Here is a 19,975-nt window from a genome sequence, read left to right as displayed (position 1 = left end):
TCTTCAAACTCTATGCATACAACCGTATTCCCCAACCTGCTCTTCCTCTTGATGTCTCTCCAGCTAGCCAGAGGGTGGGGGCTCCTCCCTCAGCTCCACTGCTCCCATCAAGCTTTCATCAAGTTTTTCTTACTCCATAGCTAAGTAATGGTGATAGCTGACATATATTGGGCACTTGGTGTACATCAAGTACTTCTCTAAGCTCCCTGAAGACTTCGACTCCCATAATCTGGACAACACCCTTACAAAGTAGGGAACGTTAGTAGCATCCCCATTTCGCAGACAAGAAAGCTGAGGCCTGGAGCCACATAGGTAGGAAATAGCAGAACCAGGACATGAACCAGGTGCTCTGGTTTCAGAGTGTATGTGGTTATTTGCCACCCTCTCACCTGTCCAATAATCTCTCCAACTCACTCTTTTCATTCTGACCTACACTGTCACTTGCTTGGACTACAGTCTCTATGGAGTTCCCTGTTTCCACTGGGTCTTCCTCAAGGCCACTGCTGAGCAGCCACCATAGCAATCTATTAAAAATGCTCATCTACAAGTCTCCTCCACTGACAATGCCAAAATGCATTGCCACCTGACGTATTATGTATTTTGTATTTATTAGTGTATGTGTTTTAATATACTTTCTCTATCTATTAGAATGAAGGTTCCGGGAGGGCAGGCACTATCTGTTTTGGGCACTGCTGTATCCATCCCTGACATCAGGTATCTGACCCCTGCCTTCTACCTCAAGCTCAGCTCTCACCACTCCCTGCCTAGAAAGCCAAGCTCCAGCCAGTGGTCCCCCAATGTCATGGTGCTTCTCTTCTTCCTGGCTTGCTCCTGTACTGCTCCCTCTGCCTGGAAAACCCCATCCCTTATGACTGGGAAATTATAGTCTATATTTTAAGACTTAGCCCAGGTGTCTCCTCCTCTGAGAAGCCTTCCTGAGACTCCCTGTCTAGGGTATTCTCTTTCTTTGTTTCCTGCAGTCTGTCATAGCTCTCTCATGTCTCCAACACCCCTCCATACTGTGAGAGTGTTTTTTTTTTTTTTTTGAAACAGGATGTTGCTCTGATGCCCAGGCTGGAGGGCAGTGATGCCATTGTGGCTCACTGCAGCCTCTAACTCCTGGGCTCAAGTGATCCTCCCAGTTCAGCCTCCTGAGTAGCTGGGACTACAGGCACACACCACCACACTTGACTAATTTTTAAATTTTCGTGTAGAGACATGGGTCTCTGTTTGTTGCACAGACTGGTTTCAAACTTCTGGCCTTAAGCAATCCTCCTGCCTCAGTCTCTCTAAGTGCTGGGATTACAGGCATGAGCCATGGCACCTGGCCTCAGACTGAGTTCTTTTTTTTTTTTTTTTTTTTTGAGATGGATTTTCACTCTTGTCACCCAGGCTAGTGTGCAATGGCGAGATCTCGGCTTACTGCAACCTTCACCTCTCTGGTTCAAGTGATTCTCCTGTTTCAGCCTCCTGCATAGCTAGGATTACAGGTGCCTGCTAGCACACCTGGCTAATTTTTGTATTTTTAGTAGAGACGGGGTTTCACCATGTGGGCCAGGCTGGTCTCAAACTCCTGACCTCAGGTGATCCGCCTGCCTCAGCTTCCCAAAGTGCTGGGATTACAGGTGTGAGCCACTGCACCCGTCCCAGACTGAATTCTTTAAGGGAAGGCCTTTTGTCTTATTTATCTTGGTAACACAGTAGGTGCTCAAAGTTTGTCTCATGACAAACAGAGGCAACAAGTGCCTGGGGATGAGACTACCTACCAGGAAATACATAATCTAAGATGGGGAGGCTACCTTTAGAAACCATGGAAACAAAGCTTACATAGGATACAGACACTAGCACTCACACAGACATTGTGAAGACAGGGGCTGAGCAGGACATGAAAGGTGCTCAGTAAATATGGAGTGAGTGAATGAATGAATGGTGATGGGCTGGGTACAGCTCACTAGGGACTGTCTTCTGAAGGAGGAAATGTTGGTTGGTTCTAAGGGAGGAATGGAGCAAAGCTTATAAGAGTGGGAAAATGAGGCAGTCCAGGTCTCTCACATTTTCCCTTACAGCAATAATGGAGACTTCAACTTTCATTTGTGGCTGCCTTTTGTCTTGTTCAGTGCCTCAGTTTTCCTGAGCTGCAGAGTGGAAGCTCTTAGACCCGGTCCATGTTTAGTGAGGTTGCTGTAGAGTTGAAATAGGGAGAATGGCTGGCAGTCTGGAGTGGTGACAAGATGTCAGGCTAGTGTCTTAGATGCTATTCTTCCAGCACAGTGATGACCCAGTGGGCACTGGACACCATGGCGGGCCAAACTGACAAAGCTCAGTAGCATGCAGGCTTCAGCAGTCCTGTCCTCAGCAAGGTTGTTGGGCCAGGGAATATGTCCAAAACACCTCCTGCCCCCTCCTGTGCTCTTCCACAGCCCATCCAGGTCATCTGAGAGCTGCGACCCCAGCCAGGCTGTCATCTGGGTAGCAGTGAACAGGATGCAGAGGGGTGGAGATGGCTCCCTTCTGACCAAGACTAGACCGTGGTGGCCGCTGCCCCTTAGTGCTACATGGAGAGGGGACATTTTCCAAAAGGACTTTAAAAGCATCTTTGACATTTGAGTATTCCATCTTTGAGGGTATTCAAAGCTCCTTCCTTCCTAAGGTTCTTTGGGTCTCGAAGGTACAAAATCAGAAACTGATGACATTTCACTGCCCCTTGGGGCTGTGGCTTATGAACGTAAGAAATCTCTGTCTCCTGTTTGAATGGAAGAGCTTTACAATGAACTAGCCAGGCTGAAAAGTCTTCTTCCTCCGTCCAGAGCTTCATACCTAGGGATTTGGGAAGGAACCATGATGGGTTTTAGAAGACCTGTAAACCTTCTGAATCCATGTGATACTTTGTGTTTGTGGGCATTTGTGCACACGTGCAATAGTCTTGCCCAACAAGCAAAGAGTTTCTGTGGCCAAAGCAACAACAGAGAGTATGAGAACTGTCATTTTAAGCCTAACAGAGCACTTGTATGTGGCAGGTACTGCTGCTCACCAGGATCTCACAGTTCAGAGGAGGTGATGCCCCTAAGACATGGTTAATGGTGTAAAGTTATGGGCTGGAGAAGGCCACTAACAGGAAAGACCTGTGGCCTGGGGACCTGGGGAAGGCAGAGGTAGGAACCTGAAGGATGGGCAGAAGTCATCTATTTGGGGGCAATTACTCTACCAGGTAAGGTAGTGAGCCAAGACCAGGAGGTGAGAATGTATAAGCCACACTGTGGAGAATGGGTTGTGAGATTTAGGCAGCACTCATTTCAACTGCTGGTCTGTAAGGGGCTGTGGGAGGCTTTGTTTAAGCTTCTCCCTCAACATCCCTTCCCTGATCAGTTACAATGAAGCCCCACCAGACTCACTGTTTAAACCAGGCTGTGGGTGGTGGCAGAGAACACACCGAGGCCTTGGAAGCCTCTGTTTCATTCACTGCCTTCACTTGTTTAACTGACCCCACAAGTTCCCCATGACCTTCTTCCCCTCCCTTAGTCCACTCCTTGCTATCCCAGAGTATTAAAAGGATTTCAGAATGCCGAATGATTATTGATATCCTAATGAGTCTGTCCAATGGCCATTAGCCTGCAGACTACTTGGATATTTTTAAACTACTAAAATCAAATCTTACAACATCCATTATGCCCTGGATGGTGCATTGCTGTTGAGGCCCTAACATGCATAAACGCAACTGAGCCTGCATTATCAAACATTTAAGCCCTTAAAAATTGCCCAACCTCTAAAATCTCCTCTTAGGACCCCGTTCTGGCATTGCTTGGGCAGACACTAATCCCCATTAAGACCTCTCCACCTATTCGCTGCTCAGGGCCTGGGGTCTGCTTTAGACAGAAGCAACAGCTTTTAGGCACATTAAAGGATCAGGCTGGAGCAAAGATGATCTTCTTCTCTCTTTGAGGGGAGGCGGGCTGAGGGGGCAAACCAACCAATCACTTTTGAGGATAAGAACACTATTGAAAATAATTCTGAATATGTCTGTATGTATTTGAGGTGGGGTTGGGGGCGGGGTGTATTACAGAGCTATTGTGCCCAGGTCCAGGTGGTTGCTTCTCTAGCCCATGAAGAAGCTGGGAGATCTTCATGGAAAGCAGACAGGGTTTAGTCTAAGCAAGTTTGACCTCAGTGCCACCTAGGCCCTCTTCCCTTTGGTTAGTGAGCTGTCCACTTTGTAGGGGGAGCTGTTCTATAGTTCCTACCTGGGCCATAAAATAGCAACACCCACCATTTGGGAAGTATGGGGGGAAGGATCTCAGTGTGTGGGGCTGCTCTAGCTTGTGGCTCTGCTACTTCCTTGATGGGGCAGTCTAACCTGTTCCTCCATGTGGTGAATTTCTAGAGGCAGGCTCTGCTGCTGTGGGGGAGAGGCTATGTGTCTAATTCAGGAGTTAAGTATCAGGAAGCTCAAACCGTATTTCCCAAGGCAGCTTTATCAATACAGCTGTTACTTTGGCTTCCCTCTGTCTGACTCTTGCGTCTTATTTCTCAGTCAATTCAGAAATTGATGGGACAAATTGGGTATTTCCTATTGACTTTCTGACCTTGCAGTACCTTCCTAGGGCCCAACACCCTCTAGCTGCCTACTGAACAGCCTCTCATGTCTTCCCTTGAGTACTGACTGCATCATGATACAACTCTTCTTATACCTTCAAAAACCCCACCCGTCATCAGCCCCTTTCCCTAGATGCTAAAATCACAGCTAAGCTGACAAAGTGACTCCACTTTAGCCCTGTATTGGCTCCACCTCTGATGCTCATGTGGCTTTGAGCTAGCAATTTAATATTTAACTTATCCAAGCCTCATTTTTTTTTGTTCTTTTAGGGTTATAGTGAAGATAATCCACAAAAAGCACCTGGCACATAGTAGAGATTCAATAAATGTCGATTTCCTTCCTTTCTCCTCTCTTTACTAACTAGGTGACTTTGAGAAATGACATAGGCACTCTGAGTCTCAGTTACCATCTCTGTAGTCAGTAATGTTGAGATGAAGCAATGTTCACTGTACTGGTGATGGTTTTGAGATGATGGGATGGCAGAAGTCTGAGCTGCAGCAGACAGATGAGGCCAGGGAGTTCATTCAAGGCCACAGGGCCAATGGGACTGAGGTTGGGCTCAACCCCAGGTGTCCTGACTGCATTCTGCAATCTCACCTTTGCTTCCCTTCTGACACTAACTGTGAGGTTCAAGACAGGACACCTGGGAAGCCCAGCTCAGACGTGCTTGGCTCAGGACCGAGTTCTGCCCGCTCCTGGCTGGGGCCCAGACTTCCTGTCTGATGCCCCTGACTTCAATTTCTCCCTTCTCTTTGACACTCAGTCCCCTAGAAGGAGTGCTCTCTCGCCCTTGCTGCCTGATTGGTTAGAATTAATCTTTTCCACTGGGACCTCACTCTATGACTGATTCTCCCTGCAAGTTCTAGAGCCCTGAGTCCACATGACTGATGATAACTGCTGTTCCTCTGACTCCTCCATCCAGAGTTCCGCAGTCTCCTTCTCCTCTTTTCCGCCTGTCGAGTCTTTATACTGTGAAAGTCCTGACATAAAACTCTTGGTGTATCTTTGTTCATCTATAGACTTTCCTGTTCCTCTTCATCACTGTAGGGAGAGGAGGACTTCTTTGGTTGCTGATTTGAAATCCTTTTCAGGCCTGAAATGCAGACTTTTCTGCCCTTTCTTTTCCTGCTGCAACACTGAGTCATTTGCAGAGGGAGGATAGCAGCAGAGGAGGAAAGAAAGCAAGCAGGAGTTGAAAGTCCTGTCGTCTTGTCTACAGATACCCCGGATTTAGATAACCTGGGACGTGGGTAATTTGAAAGCGACAAATCTGCCTTTTGGAAGTGGGAAGTTGGCAGGGTGGAGTCCCTCTTCCTGTGGCTCTAGAATCCCACAGTTCTGTCCATTGCTACTCTGGACAGATGGGAGGCTGGGTACTCACTATTCTTATCTCAGTCAAGCCTGTCTGTTTGGTACATGCAAAACCCCTTTGATTTGCTCTTATCTAGACTAAGGGCAGGGGAGGGATTGGGGGCTAGATAAAGCAAAATCTGTGCTTGGTGGGAAGCAGCCCCCATGGACCTTAGGGGCAGACACTTTCCAGGGGGCATGGCATGCTCCCTGTCCCAGCTTCCTGCCAAGTTTTTCATCATCATTTTTCATTGCTCAGGCCTCAAGCTGGAGTTAAGCCGGGGCTGATACTCCCCACCACCTAGCAGTGTGACATCTGTGAATGGATTTCTAATTACACATATAAATCAGCATGATTGGAAATTCTTGAAATTTTATTGGGAAGGAAATTTATAGTGATTAAAACCAATTAATTTGGGCCTCCTATTAATCCATGTGGCAGGGTTGATGCTGCCATGCTGCTGTGCCTCCTGAAAGCCATTGGGTGGGGTTGGGCTCAGTCTGGGGGCCACTGGGGGCGTGTGCTCATTTTTCAGGTTACAAATGCTCATCCTATGTTTTAAATTACACCTCTGCCCCCGGCCACATATCTTGTTTTGTGGCTAAAAATAGAGTTCTGGGCTTTCACTAAAGATTCAGAAACACTAAAAGGAATCTTTTTAATCAAAATAAAGAACCCTTTTTAATTACTCAGCCTCTCTCACAGTTGGAGGTAATAATTGTCGAGTGCTCTTAAGTAGGGCTGTTATTAGATTTCCCTAGGGCTCCTCTATTTTCTAGAAGTTTGCAATGCTGGCTGTTGAATGCCAGAGAAGGAGTCAACTCTTGTCTCTTTAAGTCTTTAATGTCAAGGCTTAAAGACCTGGTCACATGTAAACAGGGAGAAAGGGAGTGAGCTATGGCAGATACCAGGTCCACGCGGGGAAGAGCCTCCCAGTGGCTTCACACTGCAGGTGAAATCAAGTTTAGATCCCTCTGTGTTAGGCAGGGTTATCCAGAGAAACACAATGAATAGGATATAGATACATATGTAGGGAGGAATTTATTATAAGGAATTGGTCCATGTGATTATGGAGGCTAAGAAGTCCCACAATGTACTGTATGTAAGTTGGAGGCCCAGAAAAGCAGCTCATGTAGTTCCAGTCCAAATCCGAAGGCCTGAGAGCTGGAAGAGCCAGTGGTGTAAGGTCCCATCTGTGTCTGAAGGCCCAAGAGCCAGGAGTGCCAATGTCCAAGGACAAGAGAAGATGGACAATCCAGCTCAAACAGAGAGGGCAAATTCTTCTTTCCTCTGCCTTTTTGTTCCATTCAAGCCCTCAGTGGATTGGATGATGACCACCCACGCTGGTGAGGGCAGATCTTCTTTACTCAGTCCACTGATTCAAATGCTGCTCTCTTCTGGTAACACCCTCACAGACACACCCAGAAACACACCCAGTATTACCAGCCTCTGGGCATCCCTTAGCCCACCCAAGTTGACACATAAAATTAACCATCACACTTCCTTATTGAATGTCTCCTTTCCAAGACTCTAACCAACATCACCTCCTGTTACATCCAGGCCAGGGGCTTTCCTGGCTTTTGTGTTTTTTGTTTTGTTTTGTTTTGAGACAGGGTCTCACTCTGACACCCAGGCTGGAGTGCACTGGTGTGATCATGGCTCACTGCAGCCTCAACTTCCCAGGCCCAAGTGATTCTTTCTCCTTAGCTTCCTGAGTAGTTGGGACAGGAGCATACCACCATACCCAGCTAAGTTTTGTATTTTTTGTAGAGATGGCATTTCACCACATTGCCCAGGCTGGTCTTGAACTCCTGAGCTCAAGCAATCCGCCTGTCTCGGCCTCCCAAAGTCTTGGGATTACAGGCATGAGCTGCCACACCCAGCCTTTCCTGGCCTTTATTCCTGCCAGCTTACCCTCAGTTCTGTGTAGGTGAGAATGCGCCTGGGTCCATGCCTTGGGGCTGCTGTGAGAAAGTGTCATGAACTGGGTAATGTAAAACAACACAAATGTATTGTCTCAAGTTCTGGAGGCCATTAGTCTGAAATCAAGGTGTTGGTAAGGTCATGCTCTTGCTGAAACCTGTATGAGAGAATTCTTTCAAGTCTTTTCTGGATTCTGGTGTTTGCTGGCAATCCTTGTCATTCTCTAGTTAATAGATACATCACTCTGATCTCTGCTTTTTTCATCACATGGCCATCTTCTCCATCTTCTCATACATCATTATGACCATATACTCTGCTGGGTCAAAGAGGGCCCAGGATTATGTTTCTCTTGGCTGGTGTTGAGATCACATGGATTCTCCATCAGTGCATTAAAATTGTGCTACATGTTATATCACTTCTTATTTGCAGCCTTACTGTCTGGTACAGTTTTCCCTGAAGTTTCTAATTACTGTCTTTCATTTTTATGATAAAACATGGCTTTCTCATATTCTTGACCACTAAAACTATTCTTAATTACACAATCTATGGCAACCTATTTCTCCACTTTACCCCCAGGTTTCCCTCCCAGGAGCTACTCTGACCTGAAAACTGGTCCTCTCAGTTGCTATTCAGCCATCTAGAGCTGGAGGGTTCCAATCCCTGTTCCCTGGACACCACACTTTTTCCTCTCTAGGTTTATTTCACTGTTGTGTTTGAATACAACCTCAAGCTACAACTTTTCATTTTTAAGGAACCTCTTTAGGAAGGATATTTGGGGGGCAGGTGATATAGTTGTGATATGTGTCCCTGCTCAAATCTCATGTTGAATTGTAATCCCCAGTGCTGGAGGCAGGGCCTGGTGGGAGGTGTTTGGGTCATGGGCGTGAATCCCTTATGGCTTGGTGCTGTTTTTTTTTTTTTTTTTTTTTTTTTTTTTTTTTTTTTATTATACTTTAAGTTTTAGGGTATATGTGCACATTGTGCAGGTTAGTTACATATGTATACATGTGCCATGCTGGGGTGCTGCACCCACTAACTCGTCATCTAGCATTAGGTATATCTCCCAGTGCTATCCCTCCCCCCCCCACCCCACAACAGTCCCCAGAGTGTGATATTCCCCTTCCTGTGTCCATGTGATCTCATTGTTCAATTCCCACCCATGAGTGAGAATATGCAGTGTTTGGTTTTTTGTTCTTGCGATAGTTTACTGAGAATGATGATTTCCAATTTCATCCATGTCCCTACAAAGGACATGAAGTGAATTCTTGTGAGATTTGGTCATTTAAAAGTGTATGGCATCTCTCTGTCTCTCTCTCTCCTGCCATGTGATGTGCCTGCTTCCCCCTTGCCTTCCACCATGATTAGAAGCTTCCTGAGGGCAGATGCCCACGTTATACTTTTTGTACAGCCTGCAGAACTGCAAGCCAATGAAACCTCTTTTCTTTATAAATTATCTAGTCCCAGGTGTTTCTTTGTCATAATGTAAGAACGGCCTAACACAGTAGGTTTTCTGAGTCCTTTCTTGTCTGGAAATGTCTTTATTCTGCCCTCACTATGAATTGATAGATGTTTGAGTATAAAACTCTAGATTTGAAATTATTTACCTTCTGAACATTGTCCACCTTGCTCTAATATCTCTCCACATACAGTGGCATTTGAGTCTACTGCTTTTGTTTTCTCTTTTCTGTAAGCTCTCAGAATGTTTTCTTGTCCTGGGTGTTCTGAAATTCCACATATATAAGTAGGTGTCTCTTTTCATTCAGTATTCTGAACAAGGGTGTTCTGTTTCAGTTCTGGAAAATAGTCTTGGATTATTTCTCTGATAATTTTCTCTCCTCCACATTCTGTGTTGTGTTTTTCTGAGATACTTATTAGGCAAATATTGGACCTCCTGGATTAGTCCTCTAAGTCTCTTATTATTTTGTTAATATTTTCTATCTCTGTGTTTCTTTTGAGGAGGGGGAGAATCTACATTCTGAGAAATTTCTTTAATGCGATTTATTTTGTGGCTGGCTTTCTACTTTTTAAAAAAACACAAATGACATTATTTATCTTTGTAAGACATCTTTTCTTTCTTTATTTTTTTAAAAAGTTCTTCCTTTTTTATAGCACTCTGTTCCTGTTAAATAAATACAGTGTTCTCTCAAATTCCCCGATCCTTTTTTAAATTGAAAAAGTTAAAAGCTTTCTGAATCATCTTGATTTTCTCAGGGAACCAGTGTTTTTGCTTTCTTTTCCTTATCCATACTGGTGATCCTTCTTGTTGGCCTGGTGCTTCTGGGCCATCCATTCATATTATAGAGGGAAGATTGGTATGGGATTCCTTTACTGGGCATAGGTCTCTTATTCTCACTCCCAACGTCTCTCCCTTGAGTGGGACATGTGCCTTGGAGCTCCTTGGTATGTCCACTCAGCTGACACACTTTAATTTAAAATGCATGAGATGCAACACATCAATCAGGCCACCCATCTCAGATATGTGCATGTGCGTGCACACACACACACACAGTGGCAGAACAGTTTTACCTTGTGGTCCTTACAAGCATGCCTGAAACCTTGGTAGTCTCCAGTCAGTTCATTCAATGCTTGTAGAAAGGAGCAGCTACTTTTTGTTGGCATAAGGGTTCTTACTGGGCCACCCATTCAGGAGGCAAGATGGAGGTGGTGGGGAATATAGAGAGAAGGGGTGCCAAGTGGTACTCCTTGGTATTTATTTTCTAGGTATAGACTTTCAATCAGTCTCCCAGTTTTCAACCCGAAGTCTCATTCCTGCTGTCACTGTCAGTCTTCCTAGGCCAGCTAGAATTTGCTCCTACAGTCTCTTTATACTATTATGACCTGTAAGTCAACATGCCGCATCCACTTTATGTCTTCTAAAAACCTATTGAACTTTCTCACTTGTCACCCCTGCCTCCACTCATCTTATTTCTTCATTGTTATAGGTTTGCTTCTTTTTATTCTTCTATACTTTAATTTCAGTGAGATTTCAGGTCGGCAGGGAAATAAATATATGTGCTCAGAATGCCATCTTAAATCAGAAGCAAAATATTTTCTTATGTGAATTAACAGAGTAGATGTGTTTCCTGAAAGCAAAAGAGCTTAGTAATTACCAAACCTCTTGCTTTACAGGTGAGAAAACAGAGGCCCAAGTGGGTGAACTGCTGAGGTCACACCTCTGCTTCCCATCTGGAATCCTGGTCTCCTGAGGCAGGGCTACATTGCAAGTGGAGGAAATGATCTGGATAAGAAAAACTTTGAATCAGAAAACAAGTTTGAAGGAAATGTAGTAGGACTATTTTCATCTGTGCCTTAGTTCACCTAAATCTATCTATCCATCTATCTGTCTGTCTGTCTATCTATCTATCTATCTATCTATCTATCTATCTATCTATCTATCTAGGTTAAAACACCTTTAATGAGAGGTAGAAAGACACTAATAGCTCCCCTGTCTGCTCTTGACATTTTACTATGTTAGGAAGCTCTGGAGCCTACAGCTTGAGGAGAAACCGTGATTCAAGTCAGTCAACAGCAAAGCCCTCATTCTGTCCTCCTCAGAACTCCTGTTCCAAATGATCCTATGTTACAAGTAAATACTGCATCTCATTACAAGATGGAGAGGCAGGGAGGACACTACCTGGAGCTGGCCTCCCAAAGCCTGGGACTCTAGGAACAAGACAATAGCAAAGACACAAGCCCCAGCCCATGGATAAACAAAATGGGGAGGACAGAGGCCTTGAAAGAGGAAGATGAGGAAAATACAAGGGCTCAGGGAATAAAGGAGGGAGTTATCTAAAACTAGAAGCATACTAATGCTAGGAAATCCCCTATGATCCCTGGTGCACCTGTGCACACACCTGTGTCACTATTAGCCCAAAGGAATATTTACCAGAATGTGCACATTCACAAGAATTTGAGGTCCTTTCCCTTACATCATGTCCCTTTCTTAGTCACATCAGTACCCAGCAAGCCCAAGCAAATCCATAAAGGGTTCTGATTCTTTGGGGGACCTGCCATGAGGCAAACCTGTAAAAACCAGAATAATGTGGAATAACTACCCATGCATTTCTGCAGGTATATAAAAGCTTTCGGTGTGCTTTAAGGCATTTCATTCTCTTAGCTCACTTAAACTGCCCCATACAATCTTGCTTATATCATTTCCTTAGCACAGTTGAACATAAGGTATCTTATCACCATCCTACCCAGACTTCCAATGGATGAATGTAGACCTGTGTTATTTCAGCCTATTTGTGAAACCCCAAGGTTAGCAAGGCAGGAAGAAGGCCATGGGTTTGCAGAAGTCTAAGACAGACTTCCCACTACAGCCCAAGAGAGCAGGGAAAGCAGAAATGGGGACAGCCTCCCATAAAGAGATGATTTTTCTTTCCATCATCTCCCATTTTAGTGCATTTCAGAAGCCCCCCTTTCCCAATCTCAGCCTCTTTCATCCTGTTGCCCTATAACTGGGATACATTTATTCACCCTGAAGTATTAAGGGCTATTGTCCTACCTTCCCTGCTCCCCCAGGGGATATGCAAGGAAAGTGTAATGTTTCACAGAAATGAGTTGAGGAAGGTGAAAATTTCAGGCCCCAGTGAGGGAGAGAATATGGATGTAGGTGGCTTCCCAAACCATGCATGCTGTATCCCCTGCCAGTGGGCAAAGCCTGTTCTCTTGCATATTTGAGTCTACTCTTGATTTCCCCCTAATTAGATGGTACCTTTCCTACCTCTGCACCCCTGACCAATTAGTAGTACATCTTTCATCAAACTCTTCTTGAATTCAGTCCTCTGGGTACTTGGCTTGGAAGGGTCCAGGAGGATGGGAGCCCTGTGTTCTTTATCCATGTATTCCCTACAGTGTGTGTATGAGAGGAGGAAAGAGCCTGTTCTGAAGCCCTCACTATGCCAGACTTTGTGCTGGGTACTCTATGTATGTTATTTAAACTTCCTGACAAGGAAGTGGATATTTTCCCATTTTCCAGATGATCACACTGAGGTTCAGAGTTAAATAAGTCATCCAAAGTCACAAAGGGCTCAGGATTTAAGTTCATTCTAGCTTCAAAGATAGTGCCTTGCCTTCCCTTGCCTTCCCTCACCTTGCCTTGCCTCATCTTCCTCATCTTACCTCATCTTACCTCGTCTTGCCTCGCCTTGCCACGCCTTGCCTCGCCTTGCCTCACTGTGCTTCACTTTGCTTTGCCTTGCCTCCCCTTCCCTCCCTGTTCCTTCCCTTCCCTTCCCTTCTTTTTTCTTTCTCTTTTCTTTTTTTTTTTTTTTTGAGGCAGAGTCTCACTCTGTCTCCCAGGCTGGAGTGCAATGGTGCCATTTGGCTCACTGCAACCTCTGCCTCCTGGGTTCAGCAGTTCTCCTGCCTCAGCCTCCTGAGTAGCTGGGATTACAGGTGTGCGCCACCACACCTGGTAAATTTTTGTATTATTAGTAGAGGTGAGGTTTCACCATGTTGGCCAGGCTGGTCTGGAATTCCTGGCCTCAAGCAATCCACTGACCTTGGCCTCCCAAAGATAATGCTCTTTCTAACATACCTTACACATAGTAGCTTCTCACGATAATTTTACTGAACTAAATCCAACCAACCATTTCACAAGCCCTTGTGAGTGAGGATCCCTCAATCCTGATTCCCTGGCATCCGAGTCCCTTTAAATCAGGCTGGTAATTGCTCTGGGCTCTCTGCGACGCAGTGCATTTAGCAAAACAAACATAGGTTCCATTTCATACGCAAGTAAATATTTTCCCAAAGCGATTAGCACCCAGACAGCTAATAATTACTGCACGTGACACTTTTAAAAGCTGACTATGCATATTTATGGAAAATGATTATTATCACAATATTAGGAGCTCATTAATCCACAAGAGCACATGTGAAAACATTCCAAAGTCAATGTGACATTTGTGTGCAGTAAATACCCATCTGCTTTGAAAACTGGTGTGGTAAGTGCTTGAGCATTCCAAAGGTAGGGAAGCCCTTTGAGTGAGGACTGAAACTGTGCACTCTTGTTTGGGGTATGGTTTTGAACACCCCAGTTCTTTCCAAACACAGCACCTGTGCACACGCATGCTCGCGCGCATGCACACACACACATCTCCCAGTAGGATTTAAGAAGGAGTAAAGAGTCTTACCTTTCTCCCAAATCTGCTTCCGGCAGCCAGTGTTCCTCATTTGGTCCATTGGGTGGGCTCTTTCTGCCCTTCCCGCTTGCAGTATCCCCTCCCCCATGCCGCTTCCCTGCATTGCCCCCGCAGTGTGGGGTTGTTTGATGGTTTGTTTTCAATTTAGAATTCTAATAATGAAGTCACTCCTTGCTGAAAATCTTTCTGTAATGGATTTCTATTTTGTTTTTGTTTTTGCCACTCTGCGTCACCTCAGCTTAAACAAATCACCTCATTTCACTCACCTGGCCACAGTGGTTGTCCAGGGATGGGTAATTCAAGCCCAGTCCAGCCCAAGGCTTTAGCTTGAATCACCTGAGAAAGGATTTGCTGTTTTTTTTTTTTTTGGAGTCTTGCTCTGTTGCCCAGGCTGGAGTGCAATGGTGCAATATCGGCTCACTGCAACCTTTGCCTCCTGGGTTCAAGTGATTCTCCTGCCTCAGCCTCCCAGGTAGCTGGGATTATAGGCACATGCCATCATGCCTGGCTAATTTTTGTTTTTTTTTTTCAGTAGAGACAGGGTTTCACCATGTTGGCCAGGCCTCGGCCTCCCAAAGTGTGGGATTATAGGCATAAGGCACTGCACCTGGCCCGATTTACTATTCTTGAACCTCAGAGGACGTGAGGCTGGAGCAGCTGTGGCCTCCACGTGGTGCTGAAGGAAAAAATCGGCTCCTGGAGGAGAGCAGAGCTGAGTTTAGAAATGGCAAGGCCGGATCCTGACGGCTTGGTCTGAGGCCCTAATTCTGTCGCTACCTAAAGCCAGCCTGACCACTGCAGTTTTCAATTCCAGGTACCAATAATTATCTCTTTGCTAAGCTAACAAGTTTGGGATTTCCTCCATTTGCTTTTGATATACATTCAGTGTTCCTCCATTGCTTTTGAGATAGAGTCCAAATTCCTTATCAAGGTTTGCAAGACCCTCTGGTGCCTGACTTTATTTCCCTTCAGCCTCATCTCTCCTCGCTATCTGCCTCACACACTTGATGTTCCAACTAAATGGAACTTCTTCCAGTTCCCTGAACGCACTTCACCACTTTATTGTAATTGCTTTTAATTGTCCATCTCCTCCGGGAGACTGTTGATGCCACAGAGATAGGGCTGGGTTTATTTTATTCACTGTTGTAGCCCCAGCACCTAGAAGGATGCATGGAATGTTGTTGCTGCTTCATAAATATTTGTCAGATCTATGAATGGATATTGGTTTGTACTTGCATGAGATGCCATTTGGTGGATTAATTTGTTCTTGGACTAAATCTCATTTTATGCACTCATTTGTTCAATAAATATTTAACTCAACAGCTACTGTGTCAGAAGCCAACAAAGATTAAAAAAAATAGTCTTGGACTTCAATCAGCTTATAGTCAGTGGGAAAAAAAGGTATAGAAACAATCATAATATATGATATGACAACTATATCTTTTTTTTTTTTTTGAGACGGAGTCATGCACTGTTGCCTGGGCTGGAGTGCAATGCCGCTATCTCGGCTCACTGCAACCTCTGCCTCCCGGGTTCACGCAATTCTCCTGCCTCAGCTTCCCAACAAATATATCTTTTGCTGTAATTGAGATGTGTACAATATATAAGGAAAGCAAGGGAAAAAGCTCTCTTAAAATTTCCTGGGGATGTCAAGGATGTTAGGAGAGACTTCAGAGGGGAGGTGATGCTTCAGAGGGGAGGCAATGCTGGAGATAACTGTGACAATAACAATACTGCCAACAATGGCAATGGCGTGGGACAGGCGCTGTGTTCACATTCGATAGTCATTCTTATCTCTTTTAATCCTCAAAACCACATGTGAGATTATTATCCTCATCTGCAGATGGGGAATATAAAGATCAAAGAAGTAAAGTGCCATTTGCAATGCCACTCGGCAAGTAGGTGAGATGTATCCGGTCAGGGGTGCTTTGCCAGGCAGAGAAGGTAGGGAGAGAGAGTGTCATAGGAGTGGCAAGATTCCACACAAAACTCAGAGAAGTGCTGGCCCTGTCTTTACTATTCTGATACTTTGTTCATCATGCATTGTATTTTGATTAATTTTGATTTTTTAAAATATTGCATTAAAATATTATCTATATTGATTACTGAGCTTTTTGGTGTCCCCTAAAATTTTGCTGATTACCTCACTTGCCTCACCTTATTCCTGACTTTGAGTGAGAGGTGCTGTGTGTTTGGGAAGCTGCAATTGTACAGGTGCATTGAGTTAGCCCAGGTGGTAGCGGGAACTGAGTGATGAGTGTAGATAGCGAGGTAGGCAAGGGCCAGGTGGTGGTAGCCTGTGCTCATGTTATGGTATAGAAATATTATCTTATAGGCCATAGGCCAGACATTCTCAACCTTAAACAATGTGTAAGCTCTTTTAAAGGAAAAAATAATTCCCAATGACCCCACTCCCCCATGTTTCTTTTATTATTTTTCCATATTTATTGTATATATTGACAAACAAATGTCAGTTATGCGTATGTATAAACTTAACACATTTACAAATAAAAACAAACAAAATGCAAAACTAACAACATTCAAATTAACAACTTAAATGGATGATGTTGGTTTGTTGAAACTGAGCTACTGCTTTGGTGTGAATAAGGCGTTGACCACCAGCACAATTTATTTCAAATGCTGCAATTACCTCTGCTAGGTAGGGTGCCCATCACTGTTCTTCATTTTAACTTTTGCAAAAGCTTCTTTCCTAATGTGGGTCTTCATTTGGCTGGGAATGAAGACTTGACATTTTACTTCGCCTCTATTTCTCATTAGTTGCTACAAGTAAAGTGGGTCATCTTTGTTCCAATGTGATGGTCAATACAAAAGCAAATGTAGGTGTGGAGTTAGAAGCCTTTTAGCCATCCAAATGATCTAAAATATGTAAGTAGAAATTTAAGCGTCCCATTGAGAAGACTCAAATTTTGGAGAATCTGTAGGTGGACCACGGTTTGAAAAATATTGCTGTAGACCAGGGGGTAAGGTGGGGAGGGATGTTGAGAGATTTTGAGCAGATCTGCATGTTGGAATGACTGCTCTTTTCGCAGCGTGGGTGGCTAGAGGCATGAATCCAGGTGAGCAATGACAAGGGTAAGGACCTGGGCAATGGAGAGGGGATAGGAATGGGGGCAGCCTGAGAATTGTTGAGGAGGACCTCAACAATTAAATTGTTTTGAATTGTTGATAGGACCTAGGGACTGAGGGAACGTGAGGGCTGAGGAGGAGGGAGGATTGTGAAAGACTGCCAGGTGTTTGCCTTGAATGCTTAGCAGATAATGATAGCATCATGAGGGGGAATTCCAGAAGAGGAGTGGGTTCTGTGGGGGCTAATGGCTTTAGCCTTGGACATTCTGAACTTAGATGTCCATGGGGTAACTAGGAGAAGCCTCCCGGTAAACTGTAGGATCTAGAAATCAGGAGGGGACATCAGATCTGGAGTGACCAGAGGAATTTGAGTGTGCACACACATAAACCAGATGTTCTTGGTTCCCCAAAGGTGAAAGCATGGGCCTTAGGAGGTTGTTGAATCCCTTGATATTTATGCAGAAATTTGAGTATGGTTAGTGTATTTTTCTGGGGAGAGGGTCCTCAGCTTTCATCCAATTCTCCAAATGGTGTATGGTCATTTGAAAGGAGGAAGGCTGAAGAAAGAGGCCTGGGGAACAGCAGCACATCTGGGGAAGAGCAGCAATTGGAGCCTCTGCAGATGGCAGGAGGGTGTGAGCAGTGGTTGGGGAGGTAGGCACTAGGAGAGCAACAGGAACCTTGCAGAGGAGAGGGCAGACAGGACACAGAGGTGAGGGTCAAGAGGAAGGGTGGGCAGGGAGCAGAGGAGAGGGCAGACAGGGCACAGAGAAGAGGGTGGGCAGGGCGCAGAGGAGAGGGCGGAGAGGGTGCAGAAGAGAGGGCACACAGAATGCAGAGGAGAGGGCAGGCAGGGCGCAGAGGAGAGGGCGGGCAGGGCACATAGGACAGGGCAGAGAGAGCGTAGAGGAAAGGGCAGACAGGACGCAGAGGAGAGGGCGGGCAGGACGCAGAGGAGGGGTGGGCAGGGTGCCGAGGAGAGGGTGGGCAGGGCACAGAGGAGAGGGCAGACAGGGCAAAGAGGAGGGGGTGGGTGGGGTGCTAAGGAGAGGGTGGGCAGGGTGCCAAGGAGAGGGTGGGCAGGGCACAGAGGAGACAGTGAAGAGGAGTGGGTGGACAGTGGTGTCATATGCAGTGGCCTGGTCCAGTGAGCTGGAGATGTGCCATATGGTTTAGCCATAAAGAATCAGTGCCTTTTGCCAGGACAGTTCTAGTGGAGCAGAGGTTGGAGGGGCTGGATGACTGAATGGAGGAGGAGGCAGACAGTACACACAAGCCTTTGGGAAACTTGATTGGAAAGGGCAGGGGAGATAGGAGTGAGCAGAGGTTAAAATGTTCTAAATGCAGGGGAGCAACCTGAGCATGTTTGTGTCCTGGGGAACAGCAGAGAGAGAGGCAGAACATACGCGTGGGGAGAAGGTACTGAGGCATCTGTCAGACAGGGAGGGGTGGTGGTGGTTTAAAATACAGTGTAGTAAGAGAAAATTTGAGGTGTAGTAAGGCCAACAGATCAGGAGGTGATTGTCATTGAGAAGACAATTTGTTACCCAATATTCCCAAGAGGAGAGGGGGCATGGCATGCCACAGAGGCCCCAGGGTTGGTCAGGAGGCAGAGGGAAAGAGGGAGTTGGGGGGACTGTGTGCAAGAGCCTTTGTTGCAGTTTCTGCAGGAACAAACAGGTGAGACAGGGTGTGCCCGGTTAGGATTGGGTAGTTTGAATCTCGGTGGGCTCTGGGACATTGACAATAACAGCTTTTTCAAAATGTAACAAGCAGGTGTCTTTTGAACACCCACTGCATGCTGGACGTTGTGTAGCGGGGTTTATGTTTGAATAAAATATAACCTCAGGAATCAAGAACAAAGATTCTCACATTCTATGTCTCACATTAAATCTCTGATAGGCTTAAGATGCACCTGGAGGAGTATTGTTATTGTTTTTGTTTTAATGCACTCTCCTGGGCCATATCTCAGGCATTCAGATTCTGAAAGTCTGGGATGAGACCCAGGAATCTGCATTTATCACAAGCATCCAGATAGGAAACATTTTAGACTTTGCTTGTGAGAGTCTCTAAAGCAGCTATTCAATTCTGCTATTGTAGCCTGAAAGCAGCTGTAGATGACTATTTGTAAAGGAATGGGTGTGGCTATGTTCCATTAAAACTTTATTTACAAAAATAAGTGCTGGACATTATTCATAGTAGCCAAGATATGACAAAAACCTAAATGTCCATGAATGGCTGAATGAGTAAATAAAATATACAAATATACTTTCAATGCAATATTATCTAGTCTTAAAAAAGAAGGCCGGGAGCAGTGGCTCACACCTGTAATCCCAGCACTTTGGGAGGCCAAGGCGGGTGGATGACATGAGGTTGGGAGTTCGAGACCATCCTGGCCAACATGGTGAAACCCATCTCTACCAAAAATATAAAAATTAGCTGGGCATGGTGGTGGGTGCCTATAATCCCAGCTACTCAGGAGGCTGAGGCAGGAGAATCGCTTGAACCCGGGAGGCGGAGGTTGCAGTGAGCACCACCCCCCCAACAAAAAAAAAAGAAGAAGAAAATCATGACATATGTGACAACATGGGGGGACTCTGGAGGACATTATGCTAAGTGAAATAAGCAGACTAGAAAAACAAGTACTGCATAATCCTACTTATGTTAGGTATCTAAAATAGCCAAATTCATAGAAGCAGAGAGTAGAATGGTGGTTACCACAGAATGGGGAAAGAGAAGCAAACAGCTGCTGTTCAATGGGTATAAAGTCTCAGTTATGCAAGATGAGTAAGTTCTAGGGATCTGCTGTAGAGCAATGTGCCTCTAGGTAACCAGACTATTGTGCACTTAAAAGATTAAGAGGGTAATCTCTTGATA

The sequence above is a fragment of the Homo sapiens genome, chromosome 18 (genome assembly GCF_000001405.40).
Source record: "Homo sapiens chromosome 18, GRCh38.p14 Primary Assembly".
In the NCBI taxonomy this organism is placed as follows: Eukaryota; Metazoa; Chordata; class Mammalia; order Primates; family Hominidae; genus Homo; species Homo sapiens.
Note: the sequence above shows the minus strand (reverse complement) of the source record.